At 45.5% G+C, this 26,533-nt stretch overlaps 1 long non-coding RNA gene and 3 pseudogenes across 1 annotated transcript in view, besides 3 other annotated features; 3 read left to right on the forward strand and 1 right to left on the reverse strand.

Annotated features, from left to right (window-relative positions):
• The window catches only part of LINC01344 (long intergenic non-protein coding RNA 1344), a 110,117-nt gene extending 109,888 nt beyond the window's left edge, over positions 1-229 (reverse strand). The window contains exon 1 of the long non-coding RNA NR_104175.1: positions 116-229. This is a non-coding gene — a long non-coding RNA (long intergenic non-protein coding RNA 1344). The remainder of the gene's footprint in view (positions 1-115) is intronic.
• Positions 13,236-13,342, forward strand: RNU6-152P (RNA, U6 small nuclear 152, pseudogene; annotated as a pseudogene).
• RPL18P2 (ribosomal protein L18 pseudogene 2) lies at positions 14,626-15,226 on the forward strand (annotated as a pseudogene).
• On the forward strand, positions 22,026-22,682 carry EIF1P3 (eukaryotic translation initiation factor 1 pseudogene 3; annotated as a pseudogene).
• Positions 23,478-24,113: an enhancer, noted in NCBI's record as "H3K4me1 hESC enhancer chr1:182306445-182307080 (GRCh37/hg19 assembly coordinates)". NCBI's record gives its function as "activates a minimal SCP1, AML or CMV promoter by ChIP-STARR-seq in primed H9 embryonic stem cells {active_cell/tissue: H9 hESC(primed)}" and the evidence as "EXISTENCE:reporter gene assay evidence [ECO:0000049][PMID:30033119]".
• Positions 24,120-24,667: a transcriptional cis regulatory region, noted in NCBI's record as "candidate enhancer chr1.10229 targeted for multiplex CRISPR interference". NCBI's record gives its function as "positively regulates GLUL gene expression with high confidence in K562 cells {active_cell/tissue: K562}" and the evidence as "EXISTENCE:mutant phenotype evidence [ECO:0000015][PMID:30612741]".
• Positions 25,199-25,491: a transcriptional cis regulatory region, noted in NCBI's record as "candidate enhancer chr1.10230 targeted for multiplex CRISPR interference". NCBI's record gives its function as "positively regulates GLUL gene expression with high confidence in K562 cells {active_cell/tissue: K562}" and the evidence as "EXISTENCE:mutant phenotype evidence [ECO:0000015][PMID:30612741]".

Consider the following 26,533-nt stretch of genomic DNA (forward strand, 5'->3'; position numbering starts at 1 on the left):
CTAGATGAAATCCAAAAAATGGTTAAGGAGGAAGAGCTAGGCCTAATTGATCTTAAAAGCCTCAGTGGTCTCTAGGGTAGATAGGTGCCAAAGTGAGAACATAGGAATCATTTACCACAGGTGCTGGTTTCTACAATCTTAATATGTCATACATGTAAGCCTTTTCTCTACAGTTAGGCTATGAGAGCCTTGGAGAGAATGGGCATCCCCAAAGTACTAGACATGCAGTAGGAACTTATTAGACAATAGAATGTTTAGACAAAGGAATGACCTTAGAGACCATCTGGCTCAGCTGTGCCAAATCATCCTTTGTAAGTGTTTTCTTGTTGACTTGTCAGGCTTTGCCACTCAATTATAAATTCTTCTAGGGGAGATCCCTAACTTGTCTATCTTTCCTTTGGCAGTGCCCAGCAAGCAAAGGGTTTGGCCGTAAAAGGTGCTCACTAAATTTTTTTAAAAAGTATTTCATCTATATACTACCACTAGATGTTTGATGAATGGAGAAATGCACTCATAAAATCTCCAAAGCATGAAATGAAGCAATGAGGAAGCCTTCCTTCCAGATACTGGATTTAATGTCACTTCCTGAAAGAGGTCTTTACTGAGTGGGTACGCACTTTAATTGTTCCACAGAACTTCTCAGCTTACCTGTGCTTCGTTTGTTTTGTATTATTTATTTATTTATTTTTTGTAGAGACTGGGTCTTGCTGTGTTGCCCAAGCTGGTCTTGAACTCCTGGGCTCAAGTGATCCTCCCACCTCAGCCTCCCAAGTAGCTGTGACTACAGGCACCAACCACCATGTCTGGCTCTTGTTTATTTTTCAATTGTCTGCCCTTCTACTAGAATGTAAATTTCCAGAAGTTGGGGATCTTGCATATCTTGTTTAACACTGTAGTCAATTTACAGCCCTAGCAAGCCTGGGGCATAGCAGGAACTTAACATTTGTGGAATGAATGAATGGCTGAATGAGTAAGTGGAGCTGAAAGTAGGTTAGAATGGAAGACTCAGATCCAGTGAAGGGAGCAAAGCCATGGGCCAGGTCCTCCTGCCTAGGGCTCTTTTGTCCCCAGAACTAGTCACCTCCAAGCCTTATCTCCTTCTCCCCTCACCCACTCTCCCATCCCACAGCAATGGGGGCAGGGCCTCTGGCTTCAGAGCTTATTAAAGTCTCCATAGATAAGTAAATTCTGTTGGGTTGAATTGTGCCCCAGGCTACCAAGATTAATTAGGTGAGCCCAGCTAATGAGTTAACTGAGTTTTTACTTTTCCCTCATTTGAAGTTTTAATCCCCTTCTGTCTCCAGAAGCCCTTAAAAGGAGAGCTAGGAAAAAAATCATTAGGGTGTTTCAAGTCCCCACAGTGATTTCCCTTACAACACCATGCTTTGACTACAAGTTCTGCAATTGCTCCTCCACACAAGCAGAAAGGTTTTTAGGTTTGTTTTTAGGTGGACTGGTGGATGAGAAGACTTCCCCTCCAGCTTCCTAGTCCACATGATGCCAGAGAGTCGCAGCAGGACTGGGTGAGACCAGGTTCTGGCGACCTTCTGCCTTGTTTACTTAATTTACTGCTTGTGTCAAGACGGTTCTGGGAAAGTTGCTTATGTCACCTCCTAAGAGTAAGGGAAAATCTCTGGCTGCTGAAGCTGCTTATCCCTACTGTGGCCGTTCCGGGTTACCCACTTCTTCCTAATCCCAATTTGCCTTCCTTGTCTAGCTGCTAGGGGCTAGATGGCTCAAGGGATTTCTTTTGTTGATATTGCTGTTGGTGAGATTGCATTTTGCTTTGTCTTTCTCCTAACTCAAAACAGATGGAACAGGGAAATAAAGAATGGTTGATAATCCTAGTCACTTATCTTTGGTAAATTTCAAAGGGTAAGTGGAGGCAAATAAACAATCATTCAGTAAACAAGTATAGTTGTTTTTTTTTTTTTTTTGAGACAGAGTTTGGCTCTGTCACCCAGACTGGAGTGCAGTGGTGCCATCTCGGTTGACCACAACCTCCACCTCCCAGGTTCAAACCATCCTCCCAAGTAGGTGGGACTACAGGCGCATGCCACCATGCCTGGCTAATTTTTTTTTTTTTTTGTATTTTTGGCAGAGACAGGGTTTCCCCATGTTGCCTAGGCTGGTCTCGAACTCCTGGGCTCAAGCAATCCTCCTGCCTCAGCCTCCCAAAGTGCTGGGATTACAGGTATGAACCACCATGCCCGAACACAAGTACAGTATTTAATGCACATTAAGGAGGGCTTAAAATGATCCATATTAGGCTGGGCATAGTAGCTCATGCCTATAATCCCAGAACTTTGGGAGGCCCAGGCAGGTGGATTGCTTGAAGTCAGGAGTTCAAGACCAGCCTGGGTAACATGGTGAAACCCTGTCTCTAGAAAAAATTTTAAAATTAGCCGGGTGTGATGGTACACACCTGTGGTCCCAGCTACTCAGGAGGCTGAGGTGGCAGGATCTCTTGAGCCTGGGAGGTTGAGGCTGCTGTAAGCTGTGATTGGGACACTGCACTGCACTCCAGCCTAGGCAACAGAGTGACTCCCTATTAAAAAAAGAAAGAAAGAAGCAGAAGCAGAAGAAGAGAAGAAGAAGAGGTAGAGGAAGAGGAGGAAGAAGAGGAAGAAGAAGAGGAAGAGGAAGAAGAAAAGAAGAAGAAAGAAGAAGAAGAAAAGAAGAAGAAGAAGAAAAGAAGAAGAAAAGAAGAAGAAAAGAAGAAGAAAAGAAGAAGAAGAAGAAGAAGAAGAAGAAGAAGAAGAAGAAGAAGAAGAAGAAGAAGAAGAAGAAGAAGAAGAGGAAGAAGAAGAAGAGGAAAAGAAAGGAGAAGGAGAAGGAGAAGAAGGAGAAGGAGAAGAAGAAAAAGAAGACGACAAACAAAAAACCGAAATGCTTGGCCAGAAATAGAGTGGAGGCCATGTGACTGGAGCAGTGTGGCTGTGGGAGAGAGGAATGAGAAGACTTAAAAGAGGTGAGCAGGAGCCAGAACACCGGGGACTCTGTAGGCCATGGTAGGTGGCTTGATGGAATTCCAGGAACAAAGGAGAGTGGCCCAAGGGATGCCAGCAGGAAAGCCTTGTGATCTAATTTGCAATTGCAAAAGATTTCCCTGTCTTCTACATGGAGAATGAATTAGAATGCAGCAAGAGAAGATACACAGAAACTAGTCAGAGGAGGTATTGGGGTTGACCAGGTGAGAGATGGCAGAGGCTTGGCTAGGGTGATGATAGTGAAGGTAGGGAGATGTGAATGACATCAAGGACATGATCTGAAAGTGGGACTGACAGGGCCTGCTAATAGATTATGAAGAGTAAGAAGGAGAGAGAAATCAAGAATGCTGTCTTTGATTCTGTCCCGAACACATGCATCTCTACTCCCTTCTCCATCCCTAACCCCTTCCTCTGTCATCCACATCCCAAGAGTTTCCAGTCTCCCTGAGTCTTTGGTCAGAAAACCAATTTTCCTGGGCATTGGACAAAAATTTGTCTCCAGGATTTCAAACCAGCAGATATATCTCTTCTCCTTCTGCCTGGGACTGTGGACTCCTGAAATCTGTAAGTATTTTGCAAGTTCTCTTACCAGGACCACATTCTTGAGAAGAGGGTTCCTGTGACTCTGGGCCAAAGAAGTGCTGAGAAGGTAGTCCTCTTCAAATCACTCACAGCCCTAAACAGGTGAATCAGCCTCGACTGGCATGTGAATTTGTCCCACTGATTGAAAGAGTAGAAATTTATGCTAGTGGCAGGTGCCAACCAACAGTAGATTCAACATAAGAATTCAGAAAGGCAAACCTATGTGCATGTCATTATAAAAACAACTGTGACAACAAAAGGCACCAGTCCAATTTAAGACATAAGCTCCTAAGGAACAAATTTCCTAACAAGACTTCCTTGTTTGCTCTATGCAAATGTTGAGGCTTATTGCACATTTGACACAAAGACTAGACTTTATGTGAAAATTCACACAAACATTTCAATTGCCTAGTGGCTTGAAAACTAAAGGAGAGGTCTGTTGTGTATGTGTGGGGTGAGGGTGTGGCAGTGAACTGGGGCAACAGGCAGACCGTACAAAAAAGAGGGTGGATTTAATGGTGGCAAATGCCTGATCCTAACCCTTTCTCCCTGCCCCCAGGGTGAAGGATAATATGAGCCTTGCCATTCAGCAACTACACTAGAATAGAATTAATAGCACTTGTGCTGCCCAGAAAGCCATTCTCTGAACAGATGGCATTTCCCAGAAGGACTAAAGCCTAACAAGCCTGAGCTTAAATCCTGGAATTGGCTGGCTCACAATAACTATGAAGGAAGAAAAATCCCCTGTTTGGTTTGGCTTTCAGTCTCTCCTAGGCCAGGAATCAACGCTTCATGAACTGAGGAGATGGAAAGATAGAGCCTCTAATGTATACCAGATCGGGCCACAAAACCTTCTCAGCAATGGGCATACATCCTAGGCCTGGCTCTCTATAAATATCCGATGGCTCCTTGGGAAGGAAGCTGGACTGTCTCTCCAGTTCAGGCCCATTTCCTTTTCTGACACTTTCCAATGCCTTCACTGGAGGGCTGCCATGTAGCCTAAATGCTGGAATACCATGACCTGAAGCCTGTCTCCAAAGAGACTCTCAGAGGAAGGGAATGTCATCTCCTCATCAAATCCAATATATTAAGAAATGGCAGGGAGAATCTCAGTGAAGATGGATGTAGGGAGAAAGGTTATGAAAAAGAGAAGTCAACAGCTGAGTTCAAACCAATTCAGACCCTCTTTGGACAACCAGTGGGACTTCAGACACTCACCTGGGAACCTGATGGTATCTCATTGCTAACCTTACATGACTCACTTTCCAAGTGATGTCCATGCCCTTCACCAACATCTTTTAAGTGTCATTTACTTGTGTTTTGGGACCAAAGTGTTACAACTACATCTTCATATTTAATTGAAAAGGTTTATTTTTTTCTAAATCAGAACTGGCCTTTCAGTCAATGGCGTGACAACTTCCCTAAAACTAGTAAGGACAAGAAAAAAAATTTTTTTTAAGAGACAGTGTTGACAAAGAGACTCTGTCTCAAAAGAAAACAACAACAATAACAACAAACCAAAGAGACAGGATCTCACTCTGTCGCCCAGGCTAGAGTGCAGTGGTGTGATCACAACTCACTGTAGCCTCGAACTCCCAGACTCAAGCGATCCTCCCTCCTCAGCCTCTTAAGTAGCTAGGACTACAGGTACACATTCCCATGCCCAGCAAATATTTTATTTTTGGCGGGGAGAGATGGGGTCTCACTAGGCTGCCCAGGCTGGTCTTGTACTCCTGGGCTCAAGCGATCCTGTCACTGTGGCCTCCCAAAGTGCTGGGATTACAGGCGTGAGCAGCCACAGCACCGGACAGAAAATTTGATTTTAAATTTAATTTTTTTTTTTTAGAGACTGGGTCCCATTCTGTCACCCAAGCTGGAGTATAGTGGCACTGTCATATAGTTCACTGCACCCTAGACTACCTAGGCTCAAGAGATCCTCCCACCTCAGCCTCGAAAATGCTGAGGGGCGTGAGTCTCCACTCCCAGCTAAAACAGAAAATTCTAATAGGCTGGAGCCCCACAGCATTCTGATAATATCGTATGCACATAACAGGTGTAATCTGAGTCAGGCTGTCGGATCTAATCTCGTGCCTGGAGAGCAGAGATCTAGAAATCATGTCTTAGATTTGAATTTCACCTTTGCCATTGAGTTGTAGGACTTTATTTTCTTTGTTTTATTTATTTTTTGTTTTCTTTGAGTTGTAAGACTTTTGACAGGTCACCCCTTCTTTTTACTGCCCACTCACATAGATGAATTTAGAACAACCAGTTCGAAAACAGGTACGATGGCCAGGTGCAGTGGCTCACACCTGTAATCCCAGCACTTTGGGAGGCTGAGGCGAATGGATCACTTGAGGTCACGAGTTCGAGAACAGCCTGCCAACATGGTGAAACACCATCTCTACTAAAAATACAAAAATTAGCCAGGCATGGTGGTGTGCGCCTATAGTCCCAGCTACTCGGGAGGCTGAGGCACGAGAACCTGTAGAACCTGGATGGCAGGGGCTGCAGTGAGCCGAGATTGCACCACTGCACTCCAACCTGGTGACAGACAGACTCCGTCTCAAAAAAAAGGTATGGCAGGGGAGGCAACAACAACAAAAAAATAGACACAATTCTAGTTACCTAACACTGCATCATTCTGTGAGTGTCTTAAGGATTGCAGATGGGGGTTTGTGTAAATCACTTGCATTTGAATAAAACAGATATGCACATATGAAAAATTCACTTAGCAATAAGCAAAGATTTAATCTCTGATACAATTTTGAACAATATCCTGACAGTTCACAAATCTTTTTTTTTTTTTTTTTTTTTTTGAGGCGGAGTCTCGCTCTGTCGCCCAGGCTGGAGTGCAGTGGCGGGATCTCGGCTCACTGCAAGCTCCGCCTCCCGGGTTCATGCCATTCTCCTGCCTCAGCCTCCCAGGTAGCTGGGACTACAGGCGCCCGCCACTACGCCCGGCTAATTTTTTGTATTTTTAGTAGAGACGGGGTTTCACCGTTTTAGCCGGGATGGTCTCGATCTCCTGACCTCGTGATTCGCCCGCCTCGGCCTCCCAAAGTGCTGGGATTACAGGCGTGAGCCACCGCGCCCGGCCCACAAATCTTAAAAATTCACTGGTACATCTTGGTGGTCTGTTTTTCTGAGTCTTTCAGATCATTCAGTCTTGCACAAGCAGCAGCTGCAATCTACCGGGAGGGAGATTCTGCAATGGGAAACCACATTGCTCATGCTGGGCAAACAGACCTGTCATTTCTAGAGACCTGGAATGATCCTGCCTGCCTGGCTGCAAGGCAGGGAGGAAAGCAGCATTCATCTATTCAATAGCCTGGTGGATAAAACAACCCCATTGCCAGGTGTGGCGGCTCACGCCTGTAATCCCAACACTTTGGGAGGCAGAGGTGGGCAGATCACCTGAGGTCAGGAGTTCAAGACCAGCCTGGCCAACATGGTGAAACCCCCATCTCTACTAAAAATACAAAAATTAGCTGGGCATCGTGGTGGGTGCCTGTAATCCCAGCTACTTGTGAGGCTGAGGCAGGAGAATTGCTTGAACCCAGGAGACGGAGGTTGCAGTGAGCCGACATGATGCCACTGCACTCCAGCCTGGGCAACAGAATGAGACTCTGTCTCAAAACAAACAAACAAACAAACAAAAAAAACCATTGAAGTGGAGGTTTGGAGGACTTAGAGACTTAACTATCCTTTAAATTATAACTGAGAAGTTAAATTGGGTATGTTTTTAGAGAAATTTGACTTTCTCAGAAGGAAAGTGAAAAATATAAAATCCAGAGAGAAATACAAAGTATAGTCAGATCAGTAATTCTTAGCTTATTTTTTTTTTTTGCAGTCTGTCCTAAGGTGACATTTTGTGTGTTATTTGTTTATTGTTTATCATTTAGTTCTCTCACTAGAATGTAAGTGCTATGAGGGTAGGAACATGTGTATTTTATTTCCATATTTCCATTACATTACCTGGCCCTAGTAGAGTGCCTTCCATAAAATAAGCATTCAAAAAAAAATTGTTGAATGAATGAATAATGAATGAATGATTCAGACTTTTTCACGTCCTAGACCCCTTTTTAAAAAATCAGTGGAAGTGGCTGGGCACGGTGGCTCATGCCTGTTATCCCAGCACTTTGGGAGGCCAAGGCAGGTGGATCACCTGAGGTCAGCAGTTCAAGGCCAGCCTGACCAACGTGGTGAAACACTGTCTCTATTAAAAATACAAAAATTAGCTGGGCATGATGGTGGGCGCCTGTAATTCCAGCTACTCAAGAGGCTGAGGCAGGAGAATCGCTTGAACCCGGGAGGTGGAGGTTGCAGTGAGCTGAGATTGTGCCACTGTACTCCAACCTGGCCGACAGAGGGAGACTCCATCTCAAAAAAAAAAAAAATCGGTGGAAGTTATGATTCTTACCTTATCCCCAAAATACATATATTCAAAAATGTAAAATATATGTTATTATATTACATAATTTATACATATATAATTACAATACATATTATTACATTTTTATATCTATCTATCTATCTATCTCTAATTGAATCTTCTCATGCAAAGGTCCCAGTTTGCAAAAGACATTCCTGCTTCACCAATGGTATCTGTTATCCCTAAAAAGCACATAAACAAAAGCTCTGCTGTCATTCTCCTTGGAAAAAATCCTTTTTTTTTTTTGGTAGAGACTGGGTTTCCCTCTGTTGCCCAGGCTTGTCTCAAAGTCCTGGCTTCAAGCAATCCCCCAGCCTTGACTTACCAAAATAGGATTACAGGCATGAGCCACCACGCCCCAGCCCAGAGGAGCAATTCTGAAGAGGCTTAAGACTGGGACTTTTGGGTCTTCTGACTCCCAGGATAAAACATCTGACATTGGCTCTTAGAGACATATGAAAGGTCCTGGGTCATTCCAGACATGTGACCAGTAAAAGGAGCCCTTCGGTGAAAGGGAAGAGAAAAAAAACTCTAAATTTGGACTCAGAAAACTTGAGTTCTAACTCAGCTCTTGTGCCATACTGGCTGTAGAATCATAGCTAGGTAATGGACTTCTCTGAGCCTCAGTTTCCTCATGTGAATGAAGAGGTCTGGCCTAGGCCCAGCATTCCACATTACAGTATCATAACTTCTAAACCAGGCAAATGAAGGAGCGACAGAGCTTCAGATGAAACAGGATGTTACTATGTAGTTAAAATGTCCATTTTGTAGCAGTGCTCCCTTGCTATGAAAAGAGAGCATGACTTATGCTGAAGCACAAGAAACTTTAAGTAAGATAACAGAAAGGACTCTCAATAATATAAGGACTGTGAGACAGAGTCAGACATGTGGGTGCTTGCAGAATATCCCTCAGAAGGTGTAGTGGGATGAGGGCCAACATTCATCTCTCAGATGATCTGTTCTAGTATTTGCTGGAAAAAGATCCTCAAGTCCAGTTGCCTCCAAAATCCACCCACTCTTTGGGTCAGGCATGGTGGCTCACGCCTGTAATCCCAGCACTTTGGGAGGCCAAAGTGGGAGGATCACCTGACGCCAGGAGTTTAAGACCAGCCTGGGCAACATAGTGTGATCCCATCTGTAGAAAATATTACAGCTTTTTAAAAAAATTTTAAATCTGCCCACTCTCTGACCCTAGGAATATCCCTAGGCTTACGTTTTCCACAAATAAGATTTTATTTTATTATTTGAGACGGCGTCTCACTCTGTTGCCCTGGCTGGAGTGCAATGGTGCAATCTTGGCTCACTGCAACCTCTGCCTCTCGGGTTCAAGTGATTCTCCTGCCTCAGCGTCCTCAGTAGCTGGGATTACAGGTGTGCATCACCACGCCTGGCTAATTCTTGTGTTTTTCGTAGAAATGGGGTGTCACCATGTTGGCCAGGCTGGTCTCGAACTCCTGACCTCAAGTGGTCCGCCCGCATCAGCCTCCTAAAGTGCTGGGATTACAGGCGTGAGCCATTGCGCCTGGCCACCACAAATAAGACTTTAAGTGAAAAATTTCTACATTTATTCTAATGCTTTGGGAAAAAGTATTGATTGCCGTGGGGTATTTTCTTCTAGTCAGTTCTTTCACACAAAGAAATCTAGACGAAAGCGACATTGATTGGGCACCTCCCCGGCAGTTCTTTCCATGGGCCATCTTGTTTAATTCTAGAGCAACCCTGAAGGGCACTTATTTCCTACCAATTTTACAGATAAGGAAACTGAGACTCAGACAAGTCAAGTCACTTTCTGCGAACAAGCTAGGAAATGGGGCCAGAATTTAACTCCAGGTCTTTCTGGAGTGGAAGCTCTTTCCACACACCTGGTTGCCACCAGGGAGGAGCTAAGTGGTGTTTAGGCAGCCAAGGGGTTTCTGGGCCTCAAGTGGTGCTGTGCACCATGCACAGTTCACTCACTCTTCTCCCCGCAGGCCAGTGTACACTGCAGATGCTGGGTCTGGAGCCTTCTCCACTCCTTTCCTGAGTTACTATCTCTGAGCGTTTCCCTTACAATGAACTTTTAGACTCCAGCACATAATCAGAATTAAAACAGAGGTCAAGGTGGGGCATGGTGGCTCATGCCTGTAATCCCAGCACTTTGGGAGGCCAAGGCCGGCAGATCACCTGAGGTCAGGAGTTCAAGACCAGCCTGGCCAACATAGTAAAACCCCATCTCTACTAAAAATACAAAAATTAGCCAGGCGTGGTGGCACACGCCTATAGTCCCAGCTACTAGGGACGCTGAGGCAGGATCGCTTGAACCCAGGAGGTAGAGGTTGCAGTGAGCCAAGATCATGCCACTCTACTTCCAGCTGGGCAACAATGCGAGACTCAGTTTAAAAAACAAAACAAAACAAAAAAAGAAATTAATAATAAATAAAATAAAACAGAGGTCAAGAGATAAATGACTTTCTGGAGACAGGTAAGAATTACAGGTAATGGGAGAACTCCAAGGCTTTCTATCCCGGGAAAAGATTGGGAAAAGTCCCAGGGAGAAGGGAAAGGGGAAAAGCTGAGGGATAGGGAAGCAGTCTATGCTGGGATTCAAAGATGCTCATTGGTTCTGTTTTTTTGTTCTTTTTTTTTTTTTTTTTTTTTTGAGATGGAGTTTCACTCTTGTTGCCCAGGCTGGAGTGCAGTGGCACGATCTTGGCTCACTCCAACCTCCGCCTCTGAGGTTCAAGTGATTCTCCTGTCTCAGCCTCCCGAGTAGCTGGAATTACAGGCACCCACCACCACGCCCGGCTTATTTTTGTATTTTTAGTAGAGACAGGGTTTCATCGTGTTGGCCAGGCTGATCTCGAACTCTTGACCTCAGGTGATCTGCCCACCTCAGCCTCCCAAAGCGCTGGGATTACAGGCATGAACCGCTGCGTCCAGTCACTACTCTTTGGTTCTTAGAGTGGCAAGGGTTCTCCATCACCCCCAGCCCCATCACTATGGCCTTTCTTTGCCTGACTTACATCTCCTCATCCTTCCAGAGGCATTCATCTCAAAAGGCATCTTTTCTAGACATCCTCCTGTTAGGACCGGGGCCCTTCTCTGGGATCCTATAGGAGCCAGTGCACATCTTAACATTTACCAGATTATAATAAAATAATGTTAATGAATCTCTCTGCCTCAGTGGACCATCCTGAGGATAACTCTCTTTTATCCATGTCTGCACCCCTGGCACCTGGTACAGTACCTGACAACTAAGAGGGGTTCGAGCAATGTTTATCGAATACTCAAGATACAGAAGCTCTGAGAGAAATGGGGACCTCAGGACAATGGGAGAATGGAGACCTGGAAGTGAGATCTGTGGAGAGTGGGTACTACTCTGTCAGGACCTGTTCCAATGCCTGGTGGATGTTGCACAGTCTAGCTGGATGGTGCAAAGCTTCTAACACTGCTGGGAGTGGTTCCACTTCAAACAATTCTAGTTTAGAAAGTTTCTTCTGGAGTTGGGCCAAAATGTAAGCCCCACTAACCTTTACATGTAGACTCTCACCTAGGATCCCTTTTGTATAGATACTACAGGTCCTGTATAGAAATGTCCTAGCTGGAGAGCTGTGCCCTATTTCTAGGCATCTGGTGATGCTAAAGAGGCAGAATGAGGTCAAGTTTGTGTTAGAGGCTTTCTGAGCTGTCATTACAGAGCTGCGCATAGTCCCAGCCTGCATCCTGCTCTGTGTGACCTCCAGAACACCAGGTGACCCTGAGCCATAACTTCTTCCTCTGTGAATAGGGATGCTGACATTTTCTTCCTGACTGTGTCGTGTGAGGATGAAAAGTGAGGATGTGAGTAAAGCCTCACCTGGCCTTGGTCAAATCTCAGTGAAAGGTATCTATTGAATTATTATTGAAATATTATTATTGATATGGTTTGAATCTGTATTTCCCACCCAAATCTCATGTTCAATTGTAATCCCCAGTGTTGGAGATGGGGCCTGGTGGGAGGTGATTGGGACATGGGGGCAGTTTTTCATGAATGGTGTAGCACCATCCCCTTGGAGCTGTTCTGGTGATAGTGAGTGAGGTATCCTGAAATCTGTTTGTTTAGAGGTGTGTGGCATCCCCGGCCCACTCTCTCTTCCTCCTGCTCTAGCCATGTAAGACATGCCTGCTTTCCCTTTGCCTTCTGCCATGATTATAAGTTCCCTGAGGCCTCCCCAGAAGCAGCCTCTACATTTTCTGTACAGCCAGCAGAACCCTAAGCCAACTAAATCTCTTTTCTTTATAAATTACCCAGTCTCGGGTGTTTGTTTGTTTGTTTGTTTGTGACAGAGTATTGCTCTGTCACCCACGCTGGAGTGCAATGGCATGATCTCGGCTCACTGCAACCTCCACCTCCCAGGTTCAAGCAATTCTCCTGCCTCAGCCTCCCGAGTAGTTGGGATTACAGGCGCCTGCCACCATGCCCGGCTAATTTTTGTATTTTTAGTAGAGATGGGGTTTTGCCATGTTCATCAGGCTGGTCTCGAACTCCTGACCTCAGCGGATCCACCCACCTCAGCCTCCCAAAGTACTGGGATTACAGGTGTGAGCCACCGCGTCCAGCCCAGTCTCAAGTATTTCTTTATAGCTATTCGAGAACTAATACAATTATTATTCCAATAACAAGACTCAGCAACTCATTTAGTAAATTCAACAGCTACTTTAGATAAAATTCTTCATGAGCAGAAATCTTCCTTTGCTTAAGCCACTACTTAACTTATATTACCAGATTTTTGCAAGATGGTGCCCAGGATTAAGAACGTAGTTCAGGCCAGGTACAGTGGCTCACACCTGTAATACCAGCACTTTGGCAGGCCGAGGCAGGCGGATCACCTGAGGTCAGGAGTTCAAGACCAGCCTTGTCAAAACGGTGAAACTCCATCTCTACTAAAAATACAAAAATTAGCCAGGCATGGTGGTGCATGCCTGTAATCCTAGCTACTCGGAAGGCTGAGGCATGAGAATCACTTGAACCTGGGAGGCAGAGGTTTCAGTGAGCCAAGACTGCACCACTGCACTCCAGCCTGGACGACAGAACGAGACTCCATCTCAAAAAAAAAAAAAAACAAAAACAAAAAAAACCACAGTTCAACAATTATTTAGCCCACTCTCAGAGACAAATCCTATATGCTAGACTCTAGTAATATAGAGATAAAAGTAGCTCATAGTCCAGCAGTGGGAATAGTCACAGAAAGAAATATTAAAATTTTTGATTAGTGCTCACTTCAGCAGCACATATACTAAAATTGGAACTATACAGAGACTATTAGCATGGCCCCTTCACCAGGATGGCACACCAATTCGTGAAGAGTTCTTTGTTTCTTTTTCTTTTTTTTTTAAGAGACAGTCTCGCGCTGTTGTTCAGACTGGAGTGCAGTGTCACAATCACAGTTCATTGTAAACTCAACATTCCATATTTTTTTAAGATTTTTTTAAAAATTGTTGATCATCGAGGAAAGATGGATCACTCATAAATAGTGCTGGGACAATGGAGGACCCACCAACATATTGCACACAAGCAGAAATACTAGGCAGATTAAAGACTTAAATATGGCCAGGCTCAGTGGCTCACGCCTGTAATTCCAGCACTTTGGGTGGCTGAAGCGGGTGGATCACCTGAGGTCAGGAATTCGAAACCAGCCTGGCCAACATGGTAAAACCCCACCTTTACTAAAAATACAAAAAAATTAGCTGGGTGTGGTAGCAGGTGCCTGTAATCCCAGCTACTCAGGAGGTTGAGGCAGGAGAATCACTTGAACCTGGGAAGCAGAGGTTGCAATGAGCCAAGATCATGCCACTGCACTCCAGCCTGGGCAACAGAGTAAGACTCTGTCTCAAAAACAAACAAACAAAAAAAAGACTTAAATATAAAAAGTAAAAAAATAAAATAAATAATAATGAAATAAGAGAACACGTCTATATTCACAGAGTAGGGAAAAAAAATTTATTTTTGTTGAGGTAGGGTCTCATTCTGTCACCCAGGCTGGAGTGCAGTGGCATGATCTTGGCTCACTACCACTTCTGCCTCCCAGATGCAATCGATTATCATGCCTCAGCCTCCTGAGTAGCTGGGATTACAGGTGTGCGCCACCACGCCCAGCTAATTTTTTTGTGTTTTTAGTAGAGACAGGGTTTCACTATGTTGGTCAGGCTGGTCTTTAACTCCTGGCCTCAAGTGATCTGCCCACCTCAGCCTCCCAAAGTGCTGGAATTACAGGGTGTGAGCCACCATGCCCGGCCAAGTTTCTTAAACAAGACACAAAAGTACTAACTATAAAGGAAAACATTTGCTTGAGGCCAGGAGTTCAAGACCAGCCCGGGCAATGTAGGAAGACCCCGTATCTACAAAACACAAAAAATTAGCTGGGCATGGTGATGCGCACCTATGGTCCCAGCTACTCAGGAGGCTGAGGTGGGAGGATTGTTTGAACCTGGGAGGTGGAGGCTAGAGTGAGGTGATATCGTGCCCCTGGATTCCAGGCTAGGCAACAAAGCCAGAGCCCATCTCAAAATAAATACATAGATAATAAAGGAAAATACTGATTAATTTGACTATCCTTAATTGAAGAATATGTGTTTATCAAAAGATCCCGTAAAGAAAGTGAAATGGCTCCTTCCCGACCTGGTGGAGCAGGAGGCGCCATCGTGGGAGTCAACATCCACCACAGCAAGGACAGAAAGGTTGGGTGCAGGGAGCCCAAGAGCTGGACATCTACCTACGGCTGTTGGTCAAGCTGTCCACCTTCAGCCAGGTTATACTGAAGAGGCTTTTTGTGAATCGCACCAACCAGCCACCTCTGATCCTGACCGGAAAATGAAGCTTCCAGGCCCGGAAAACAAAACGGCTGTGGTTTCAGGCCCACAGCTGCGGCTGTGTGGGTTCAGGAGGTGCCCAGAGTAAAGCCTCGCACTGCGTGTGAGCGGCCAGGGCCCAGCCGCATCCCCACGGCTGGGGCAAGATCCGTACCTTTGAGCAGCTGGCCCTGGACTCCCGCAAGAGCTGTGGCACCATCTTGCTTTTTGGCCCTCGAAAGGGCCCATAGGGACACTGGCATTTACCCCGGGAACCCCACACAGCTACACCAAACCCTACGTGGGTTCCAAGGGCCGAAATTTTCACTGTGCCAGGGCCCCATGGGCCAGCCGCACTATAAAAACGAACCCTGATCCTACTCTCTTATTAAAAACATTTTGGATGCTCTATTAGTTCGTTTTACCCCGCTAATAAAGACATACCCGGGACTGGGCAATTTACAAAAGAAAGAGGTTTATTGGACTTACAGTTCCACGTGGCTGGGGAGGCCTCACCATCATGGTGGAAGGTGGAAGGCATATCTCACATGGTGGTGGACAAGAGAAGAGAGCTTGTGCAGAGAAACTCCCCTTTTTAAAACCATCAGATCTCGTGAGATTTATTCACTATCACAAGAACAGCAAGGGAAAGACCCCCCCGCCCACCCATGATTCAATTATCTCCCACCAGGTCCCTCCCACAACACGTGGGAATTCAAGATGAGAACTGGGTGAGGGCACAGCCAAACCATATCAGATGCTGAAAGAAAGAAAAAAAAAAAAAGAAAAGAAAATGAAAAGGCTAGACACAAACTGGAAGAAGATACTTGCCACACACATAACCAATGAAGTAGTAGAATCTGGAATACACAAAGGGCTCAGAACAAAAAAAAAAAAAAAAAAAAAAAAAAAAAGAAAGACACTGAGGGATGGGACTGAGGGATGGGACTGAAGGGTTTACAGAAGGCCCTAGATGAAGAGGTTCCCACTAGAGAGTCATCAGCCGTGGAACAGAGCAACACTGTGGCCTACAAAGGGACTAAATTTAGCAACTTGGTCTCATTCATTGTGAATACAGATGTCAGATAAGATATAGGATGACCAGGAAATTTGAATATCAAACAAAGAATAATTTTTTTTTTAGTTTTAAGTATGTCCCATGTAATATTTTGGACATAGTTATGCTAAAAATGTTTGAGACACACGAACTAAAAAATTATTTGTTGTCTATCTGAAATTTGACTGTACTGGGTACCCTGTATTTTTATTTGCCAAGCCTGGCAACCCTAATTATGAACTTCTTGTTAATTTCAAAGAAAATGTCTTTTGGCTTGTAAGTCAAAACGAATTATACAGCACATAAAAAGAACCATTTTATAATAGTAAGACTTTCTTGCAAATGGCAGAGCAGAATAATACCAGAAAAGTTGGAGGTACAGGAGCTTGGAATGGTGGTGTGCACCTATAGTTCCAGCTACTGGGGAGGCTGAGGCAGGAGGACCACTTGAACCCAGGAGTTCAAGACAAGCCAGGACAATAGAGACAGACCCCCATCTCAAAAAAAAAAAAAAAGGTTGAGGTGTGAAACCAGTCAAACTTTAGTTTGAACCCCAGCTCTGCCACTTGCTAAGTCTAGAGTAACTTACTAACCTTTTTATGTGTTGCTCTCTTTATAAATAAAGTGCCTACCTTCATGGGGCTGTTGTAGTAAATGAGGTAAGATGTGTTGTAAGTGCTTGGCATGGTGCCAGGCACAACATGATGTGCTCTTGATAGTACTAATCACTCTTACCCATGCACTGGGGTTTCTTAAAACTAAATGCTAGAATAGATACATAGCATCTTGGTGACCAAGAATGCATCCTCATTTCTGGAATATTTAAGACAAAGTCAGAGGCAGAGGCTCCCCACCCCTGGCCCCTCCCATCCCTCACTGCTCCAGATTCCCTTATTGCTCAAGAGCTAGAAGGCATAAAAGGGACAAGATGACCTCCAAGATCCTCCCAACCCTAGGATTTGATGGTCCTTATTTTCTGAGTAACATTAGGTTCCTAATGGCGGTCACTCTTAGTGGCTATGACTGAGGGAGGTGTCAAATTATGTTCTACAGTGTGAGTTCAGTTATGGGGATTACTCTGAGGCTGTAAAACATGTATTTATATTTCTGCTCTGGAAAATACAATGTCCTATTCTTTCTAAGTCTTATTCATAGCTCAAATTGTCACTGAGGATCCAGAGAAAACAACATGCATAATTAGTTGCGGGCCTGGCCAAGATCTCAGAGACTCCAAGAGCAACACACTCTTTAACGTACAGAACTCTCTCTCTCTATCCTTTTTCTTTTTTTCTTCCTGCCCTCCCTATCACTCTACCCCTATATGCTACATGAAAGATTATTTTTGTTAATGTAGTCACAGGTCCAACTAACAGGCAATTACTGTCAAAACACATTAATTTTAAGAATGTGAGGCCAGGTGTGGTGGCTCACACCTCTAATCCCAGCACTTTGGGAAGCCAAGGGGGGGCGGATCACTTGAGCCCAGGAGTTGAAGACCAGCCTCAGCAACATGGCTAAACCCCACTCTACAAAAATTATCCGGGTATGGTGGCACACACCTGTAGTCCCAGCTACTCGGGAGGCTGAGGCACAAGACTCGCTTAAGCCTGGGAGGCAAAGGTTTCAGTGAGCCAAGAACACATCACTGCCCTCCAGCCTGGGCAACAGAGCGAGACTCCGTCTCAAAAACAAAAACAAACAAACAAAAAGAATATGATTGACAAATAATGATGATATTGCCAATCAGGGGGAAAAAAAGTTTACATAATAAAAAAAAAGCCTGTCACCAGAATAAGAAATAAAGTATCCAAAACAGACATTACCATACTCTGCATCAGTGGCTCCATAGCATAAAATGATCTGAAACTCCTTGAAGGAGGAACTAGATGGGTAGGTGTTGGTGCAGCTGCAGGCCCTGAATTACATGGTGGCCATTCTTCAGAAGACAATTTTTCACAGCATGGCAGAGAGACCCAGAATTTAAACTCAGCCGTCACTCAGGAGGAGTAAAGAAGTGACAGAATTGAGAGTTGGAGCTACACAGGGGCTTCCAGTGATGTCAGCATCTGGTGGGTTTTCACCAGGGGGGTAATTGCACACCTTGCTCAGTTTCACTCTTTCTCCATTATAGGAGCCTCAGACATTTCCGAACTAATTTGGTTGAGTGCTCAGAAAAGCATCAAGCTGGCCAGGCGCCGTGGCACACGCCTGTAATCCCAGCACTTTGGGAGGCCGAGGTGGGTGCATCACCTGAGGTCAGGAGTTCAAGACCAGCCTGGCCAACATGGTGAAACCCCATCTCTACTAAAAATACAAAAAAATTAGCCAGGCATGGTGGCGCATGCCTGTAATCCCAGCTACTCTGGAGGCTGAGGCAGGAGAATTGCTGGAACGCAGGAGGCAGAGGTTACAGTGAGCCGAGATCACGCCATTGCACTCCAGCCTGGGCAACAAGAGTGAAACTCCTTCTCAAAAAATAAAAAAGAAAAGCATCAAGCCGGTTTTAGGATAGATAATCAGCCTTTCTTTGCAGGCCGAAGTCCTCTCATTCTTACTCAGCCAGTCAGCCCACAAATATAAGCAAGCTCGCCAGATCCTCAGCACACCAGAAGATACCCCAGCTTTACAGCACACCAGAAGATAACCCAGCTTAATGGTTCCAAATAGTGTCACGTCAAGTCATGCTGCAGAGATCCCATCAGAGCTCCAGCAGAACTCATGAAATTACATAACAAATAATGCTCTCTCCCTTCCAGCCTGGAGTAGCAGAAAGAGGTGGAGCTGCGATTAAGAGTCCTGTGCAAGAGCTTAACTTTGGGCCTCCACCTTCTTATAAGAGGTGAGCAGGATAATCCCTGAGGTCCCTCATTGTTTGGACATTCTATGGCGTGCACTGCCTCGTGGAAAAGAAAGCCCTCTCTTCACTCCCAGATGCAGATTCTGATGGCTCTCTCAAGTATGTTAATATTTTGTTATCGTTTCCTTTTTCCTTGGGAGAAAAGAAGGAAGGACAGAGAGAGAAAAGCCTTTAGAAATCAACAAAATTAAAACCATAAAACACAAAGCCATGCTTTTTAGAGTTGCTCAGCTGCTGGGGCAGGAATAAAGCAGCTCCTCTGCAATGCAAGAGGCTGTAGAAGAGGCATTCTAAGGCCAGGCGCCGTGGCTCACGCCTGTAATCCCAGCATTTTGGGAGGCCGAGGTGGGCGGATCACAAGGTCAGGACTTGGAGACCAGCCTGGGCAATATGGTGAAACCTTGTGTCTACTGAAAATACAAAAATTAGCCAGGCATGGTGGCACGTGCCTGTAGTCCCAGCTACTCGGGAGGTTGAGGCAGAAGAATTGCTTGAACCCAGGAGGCGGAGGTTGCAGTGAGCCGAGATTGCAGCACTGCACTCCAGCCTGGGTGACAGAGTAAGACTCCGTCTCAAAAAAATAAAAATAAAAAAAGGGGCATTCTATCCCATGGCCATGACTCTGACCTCACCTGGTTATCAAATCCAACTTGTATATTCAAAGTGAAATGCAGGATGCCACTGACAACATGCCTGGAGGCTCAGAGGTCTCCAGTGAGCTAGAAAACAAGACACCACATTCCTCCCTGCTCCTGCCCCAGAAAGATTTCCTGGCTTCTCAGCCTCTGTTTCCTAATCTAAAACCACCTCTGGAGTGTCACTTGGATGATTAATGAAAACATCATTCATTTACCGAAAATGAGTGTTTTGCTAAAAGAATATAAGATCCTGAAAACTGTTTTTTTTTTTTTTTTTTTGAGACGGAGTCTCATTCTATCGCCCAGGCTGGAGTACAGTGGCAGGATCTCAGCTCACTGCAACCTCCACCTTCTGGGTTCAAGCAATTCTCCTGCCTCAGCTTCCCGAGTAGTTGGGCTTACAGATGTGCACCACCACGCCCAGCTGATTTTTGTATTTTTAGTAGAGATGGTGTTTCACCATGTTGGCCAGGCTGTTCTTGAACTCTTAACCTCAGGTGATCCACTCGCCTTGGCCTCCCAAAGTGCTGGGATTACAGGTGTGAGCCACTATGCTTGGCTGAAAAGCATTTTAAGAAAAGGCAGGTCAGGAGATCGAGACCATCCTGGCTAACACGGTGAAACCCCATCTCTACTTAAAATACAAAAAAATTATCCGGGCGTGGTGGCGGGTGCCTGTAGTCCCAGCTACTCAGGAGGCTGAGGCAGGAGAATGGCATGAACCTGGGAAGTGGAGCTTGCAGTGAGCCGAGATCATGCCACTGCACTCCAGCCTGGGCGACAGTGAGAGACTCCCTCTCAAAAAAAAAAAAAGGCAGAGCAATCCTTGCCAATTAAGGAATGTTTCAGTGTCCCCCTCTTCCCACCAACTGTCAGAAGAGAAAAGAAAGTTTCCCTGAGGGGTTTGGGGAGGAGTTTCCTTCTTGTTTCCATCACTACAGCCAGACAAACTGTCTCCAAACTGCCTGTGATCACTACAGCAATGTTAATTATTACTGGAAAATGAAGAGAAAAATCATTTAGCCCTGGGATCTAGGTGACCATGGGTGCAACATTCAAATCCGCTTCAGTTCAAAAGGATTTTCAGGGGAAAATTCCACTGTCTACTCCCCAAGCCATCACTTTCCTGGCTGCCTATCACTCACCCCCAGAGCTTCCTCCTCCACTCACCCTAACTGCCCAATCAAAGAGCAACCTCAGGTCCCCACCCAGGTAGAGACAACATCCCATGTCACACACCTCAGGGCAGCTTCACATCTGGAAGGGACGAAAACTGGAACGGTCATTCCGGATATTGTCTTTCCTGCCTATCTGGGGACTAAGGCAATGTGTGTGTGTGTGTGTGTGTGTGTGTGTGTGTGTGTGTGTGTGTGTGTGTGTATCAGAGTGTTTTTCATGTTTACATGAAGTTTCCATCCAAAACAAAACAAAATTTCTCCCATTAAAGAGAAAAGGTCCCCAAAGGCAGTGCTTCTCTAAATATGTGCCTCAGGATATGTGATGAGCAAAAATGCTCTTTGGTTTTATATCAAAAGACAGTTTAGGGCTCACGCCTTAATCCCAACACTTTGGGAGGCTAAGGCGGTGGATCACTTGAGTCCAGCAGTTCGAGACCAGCCTGGGCAGCATGGCAAGACCCTGTTTCTACAAAAAATAAAAAAAAAAATCTCAACTACTCAGAGGTTGAGGTGGAAGGATCACCTGAGCCTGGGGAGATTGAGGCTGCAGTGAGCTGTGATCATGCCACTGCACTCCAGCCTGGGTGACAGAGTGAGATCCTGTCTCAAAAAAGAAAGAAAAAAGAAAGAAAGAGAGAAAAAGAGAGAGAGAGAAAGAGACAGAGGAAGGAAGGAAGGAAGGAAGGAGGGAAAGAAGGAAGGAGGAGCTTAACAGCATTTTTCTTTTTGAGGGACTCACTCTGTTGCCCGAGCTGAGTGCTGTGGCATGATCATGGTTTACTGAAGCCTCGACTTCCTGGGCTCAAGCAATCTTCTTGCCTCAGCCTCCCAAGTAGCTGGAAGGTGCTCACCACTATGTCCAGCTAATTTTTTATTATTTGTAGAGACAGGGTCTCACTATGTTGCCCAGGATGGAGCTTAACTGTCTTAAACTGATTTCTGGACTATGAGACTTTGCAGGTATGTACTGTGAGCCTCCAAGTAATGGATACGGCTTTCGGTATCACTGAATTTCACTGGACCATGGAACGCTTTCATCTTGCTGTTAATTATGGAACTAATGCTCTTCAGAATATACTCTGGGAAAAGCTGTCTTTGGATGAGGATAAGAATTTCTTCTTTTCCCATTTCCTAATCTCTGATTTATTAATTACTCTTTTGGAATTGTGGAAGCAGGACTTGATTTAGAAACACAGGTCACCACAGCAACTTGAGAATCTGTTGGATGTTCAGTTTGGGAGCCTAAGAATCATTTTCTAAGCTTTTCTTATTCTGGTAGCTGAAGAAGAATAGACTTATTTGTCCACAACTTCCTCATCAGAAAAGCAGCCTTTGAGCTGGATGTGGTGGCTCATACCTATAATCTCAACATGTTGGGAGGCCCAGGCAGAAGGATTGCTTGAGGCCAGGAGTTCGAGACCAGTCTGGGCAACATAATGAGATCTCATCTCTACAAGAAAAAAAAAAAAAAAAAGCAGGGGGGTCCAGTCACTGAGCCACCACCGAGGACTCAGCAGCCTCCCTTTTGAGCCCCCTCACTTCCTGACATTCCGTCCCGGCTGCCTGCCTTCTCCCGCCACCGCTGCCTTCCGCAGGCCGTTTCCACCGAGGAAAAGGAATCGTATTGTAAGTTCGCTATCCAGAACCTCCACTCTTTCGACCCCTTTGCTGATGCAAGTAAGGGTGATGACCTGCTTCCTGCTGGCACTGAGGATTATATCCATATAAGAATTCAACAGAGAAATGGCAGGAAGACCCTTACTACTGTCCAAGGGATTGCTGATGATTATGATAAAAAGAAACTAGTGAAGGCATTTAAGAATTTTGCCTGCAATGGTACTGTAATTGAGCATCCAGAGTATGGAGAAGTAATTCAGCCTCAGGGTGACCAATGCAATAACATATGCCAGTTCCTCGTAGAGCTTGGACTGGCTAAGGACGATCAGCTGAAGGTTCATGTGTTTTAAGTGCCTGTGGCTCACTGAAGCTTAAGTGAGGATTTCCTTGCACTGAGTAGAATTTCCCTTCTGTCCCTTGTCACAACTTGGAAAACCTCCACAGCTTATGTAATGTAACCGTTTGGGGTCTGCTCTTAACTTGGACTAGTGTAACTCCTTCATGCAATAAACTGAAAAGAGCCAAAAAAAAAGTGTCGGGGAGCAGTCTTTTATCTCAGAAACCCAAGATCTCCAAGAGGAAAGAGACCTTAGCATTGTCCTGAAGCCCGTTACTTTTTCCAAGTACCTTTGAGACCAACTCATTTGAACTTCCTCCTCTCGGACTCCTCTCTACAACTTCTCTCTACAACTTACCAGTGGATATACTTTAATGGGATACAGATGGGGTTTTAATTTTATGCAGTGGCTCTCAAAGTGCAGTTCCCAGACAAGAAGCATCAGCAGCACCTGGAAACTTGTTAGAACTGCCCTACTCCCAGATAAGAAGAATCTGAAACTCTGGGAACAAAGACTGAGCAATCTTATTTTAAAAAGCCTTCCAGGTGATTCTGTTGCATGTTAAAGCTTGAGAGCCCCTGGCCTTGAGAAATCCTCTTTTACATTTTCATTTATTCATTCTGCAAATATTTGCTGAAGACTGAGGCTAGAGTAGTGTTCAAGACAAACAAGGTCCTTAACCAAAGGAACTAAACAATAAACAATAAACAAACACCGAAATGAGATTGTTAAAGTTAGGGTGGTAGGCAAAATGAATGAGGGAGGACAATTTAAATAGAGAAGTCCATGAGAGCTTCTCAGAGGAGGTGACATCTGAGCTGAGACCTGAAGAAGCAGAACGAGCCATCCTTTTAAGGAGCGGGAGAAAAGGCATTCAGATGGGAAGAACAGCAGTGTCAAAGCCCCTGAGATGAGAAAGGGTCGAAGGTATTGGAGGATGAGAGACAGGCCAGAGAGTAGGAATAAATTAGTCTGGAAGATGCAGATTCCCACACACCCCATCCAATGAGCTATTTATTCAGCAGGTTCAAGAATCTGCATTTTCACAAGCTCTTAAGAAATTCTGATGCCCACTGAAATTTGAAAGCCACTGTCCTGGCCGGGCACAGTGGCTCACGCCTGTAATCCCAGCACTTTGGGAGGCCAAGGGGGGCAGATGGTCTGAGGTCAGAAATTTGAGACCAGCCTGGCCAACATGGTGAAACCCCGTCTTTACAGAAATACGAAAATTAGCTGGGCGTGGTGGCAGATGTCTGTAATCCCAGCTACTCAGGAGGCTGAGACACGAGAATTGTTTGAGCCCAGGAGGCAGAGGTTGCAGTGAGCCGAGATAGCTCCACTGCACTCCAGCCTGGGCGATAGAGCGAAACTCAGTCTCAAAAAAAAAAAAAAAGAAAGAAAAGAAAAGAAAAGAAAGAAAACCACTGTCCCCCTAAAGTCACACAGCTATAGCATGTCAGAGCCGAAGGGGCAGCACAACTAAGACATGTAAAACTGCAGATCAGGCTTCATGCTTAGCAAGTGGAAACCTGATATTATGGACTCTGTCCAGTGCCCTTGTCACTAAGAAAATGTGCCCAGAGATCAGCACTGGGCCCAACCTTGCGGGATTTCCTCAGTTGGTCAGTCAGTGAAGTTTGCTACTGGGCTTCCCTGAGGGAGATTCACTGTGTGTCCACACCCCACACGCCTGCAGACATTTGTCCAGAGAGAGAACATGCGTGCTAAACATTGTGATCCCTAGATGACCCCTCTGGCTCCCCAAAGAGATCTAGCTGGAGAGCAAAACAGCAAGCAAAGTGGACCATAGCCAACGTGGACCTAAATTTGAACAAGCTGGGGGAGTAGCCTCGGCCTGGACTGTGACATGGGGAGGAGGGTATCACTTCCTGAGTTCCTGCTCAGAGCAGGGGAGGATCCCTATCTCTTGGCAGATGCTCCATAAACGGCAGTTGAATGTTGAAAGAAGGATTAACAAAGGACTGAAGCAGTTGGGTATGCGGGACTGTGAGAGGTAAAGGGTTTCTCTGTGTAGATTAGATCGTCAGGTCCTCAAAGAGAACAGAACACTTAGTCCACCCACCTTTCCACCACACGTGCCCAGCAAGAGCCTTAGCATTAGCCTCTTGTGTGATTTCATGGTCCCTAACACTGTTTTCCAGGTGCTAGGCAGCTGTGCCAATTCTAGGGTGTAATCAAAGAATGAGACAAAGCTGCAGAGAATGAAGGCACTTTTACTTAGATTAAGTTTGCTAACTGTGTTGCACTGTATAATTTTTCAAGCATTTTTGCTTCTATTAGCTCATAATTCTGCCTGGAAAGCTCTTCCCTGTTTGATGGGCTGGTGCTTTCTCAGCTTACAGAAGGAAGCTTTTATTATTATTATTATTTTTATTTTTTGAGATGGAGTCTCACTCTGTTGCCCAGGCTGGAGTGCAGTGATACAATCTCGGCTCACTGCCTCCCAGGTTCAAGTGATTATCCTGCCTCAACCTCCCAAGTAGCTGGGCTTACAGATGCCCACCACCACGCCAGACTAATTTTTGTATTTTTAGTAGAGACAGGATTTCACCAAGTTGGCCAGGCTGATGACGAACTCCTGACCTCAGGTGATCCGCCCGCCTCGGCATCCCAAAGTGCTGGGATTACAGGCATGAGCCACTGGGCCTAGCCTAAGGAGTCTTAAATAATTATCACTTCCTCCAAGTTAATCTGTTTCATCATTCTGCTTATCTCCCTCAGAGCACGCATCATAGTTGGTGGCTATCTTATTTAACCGTTTCCTCGTTGACTATCTCCCCACTGTGGAATGGGGAGGCTCCGTAAGGGCAGGGATTACTGCCATCTTGTTCAGCACCATACCCCACCACTAGGAAGAGCTGGTTCCATTAATGAATGGAACGAGTAACAATTCAAAAGCAGGTGATAGTCAGTCGAGTCCCCGAGGCACAGAGAGAAAGAGTGAGCTGCCTAACAATTCAAAAGCAGATGATAGTCAGTCGAGTCCCTGAGGCACAGAGAGAAAGAGTGAGCTGCCTAACCCCTAATGCCAGGTTAGTGGCAGAACCTGTGCTAGAATTTGGGGCCTTCTGGCCCCTAGTACCATAGTCAGGAGGATGCTGCCCCTGTCCTGGAAGGGAGAGGAGAGACAATCGCATACCTACAGGGGAGGGAAATGAGAGACAGCAAGACACCAAAATCAGCCTGTCTGTCCTCTCTATAGACAGTATCCCCAACCCATGGGTTTCCTACTGTGTGATGAGAACCTCAAGCCAAGGAGACAGAATTTGTATTACCATTGAGTTAAAACCTTTGAGCACATCCTCTTACACCAGTACCACTCACTGCCTGAGCCTTGCCAGAACCCAGAGGTGAGGACTCGGGTCAGTGGGACTGTCTTAGTCTGCTCAGGCTGCTACAACAAAATATGGGATGGGCAGCTTTAATAACAGACATTTATCTCCCACAGTTCTGGAGGTGAGAAGTCCGAGACCAGGGGCCAGCATGGTCAGGTACGGGTGAGGGCTCTCTTCCTGACTTGCAGACAGCTGCCTTGTCACCATACATCTTCCTCTTTGGAAGATGTCTCTTATCCTCGTAGAGGGCACTAATCCCGTCATGGGGCCTCGCCTTCATAACCTTATCTAAACCTAATCACCTCCCAAAGGTCCCACCATCCAACACAATCACATTGCGGGTTGGGGCTTTAACATACGAATTTGGAGGGGGACAGAAACATTCACTCCATAACAGGGACCCAGAAGGTGGCAGCCCCAGAGCAAAGGGTTGCTGAATGTGAACCTTCTGTGATCTTCAGCCAAAGCTGAGAAGGGGAGGTAAAAGGAAATGAGCAAGGAAGATGGAGAATTCTACCCATGGGTTAGTTTACAACAGTTCCAGGACAGTTCCCATGGGCTTGCTGGGCTCACCAGGCTCCACTGGGAAATGAAGGCCACTCAGCTGGACCCCATTAGCAGGCCTAGATTTCCATTCCAGTTTGCCGCTGACCTGGTGCGGGCTAGCATGCTGCCCGAGGC

Source organism: Homo sapiens, chromosome 1 (genome assembly GCF_000001405.40).
Source record: "Homo sapiens chromosome 1, GRCh38.p14 Primary Assembly".
Classification (NCBI taxonomy): domain Eukaryota; kingdom Metazoa; phylum Chordata; class Mammalia; order Primates; family Hominidae; genus Homo; species Homo sapiens.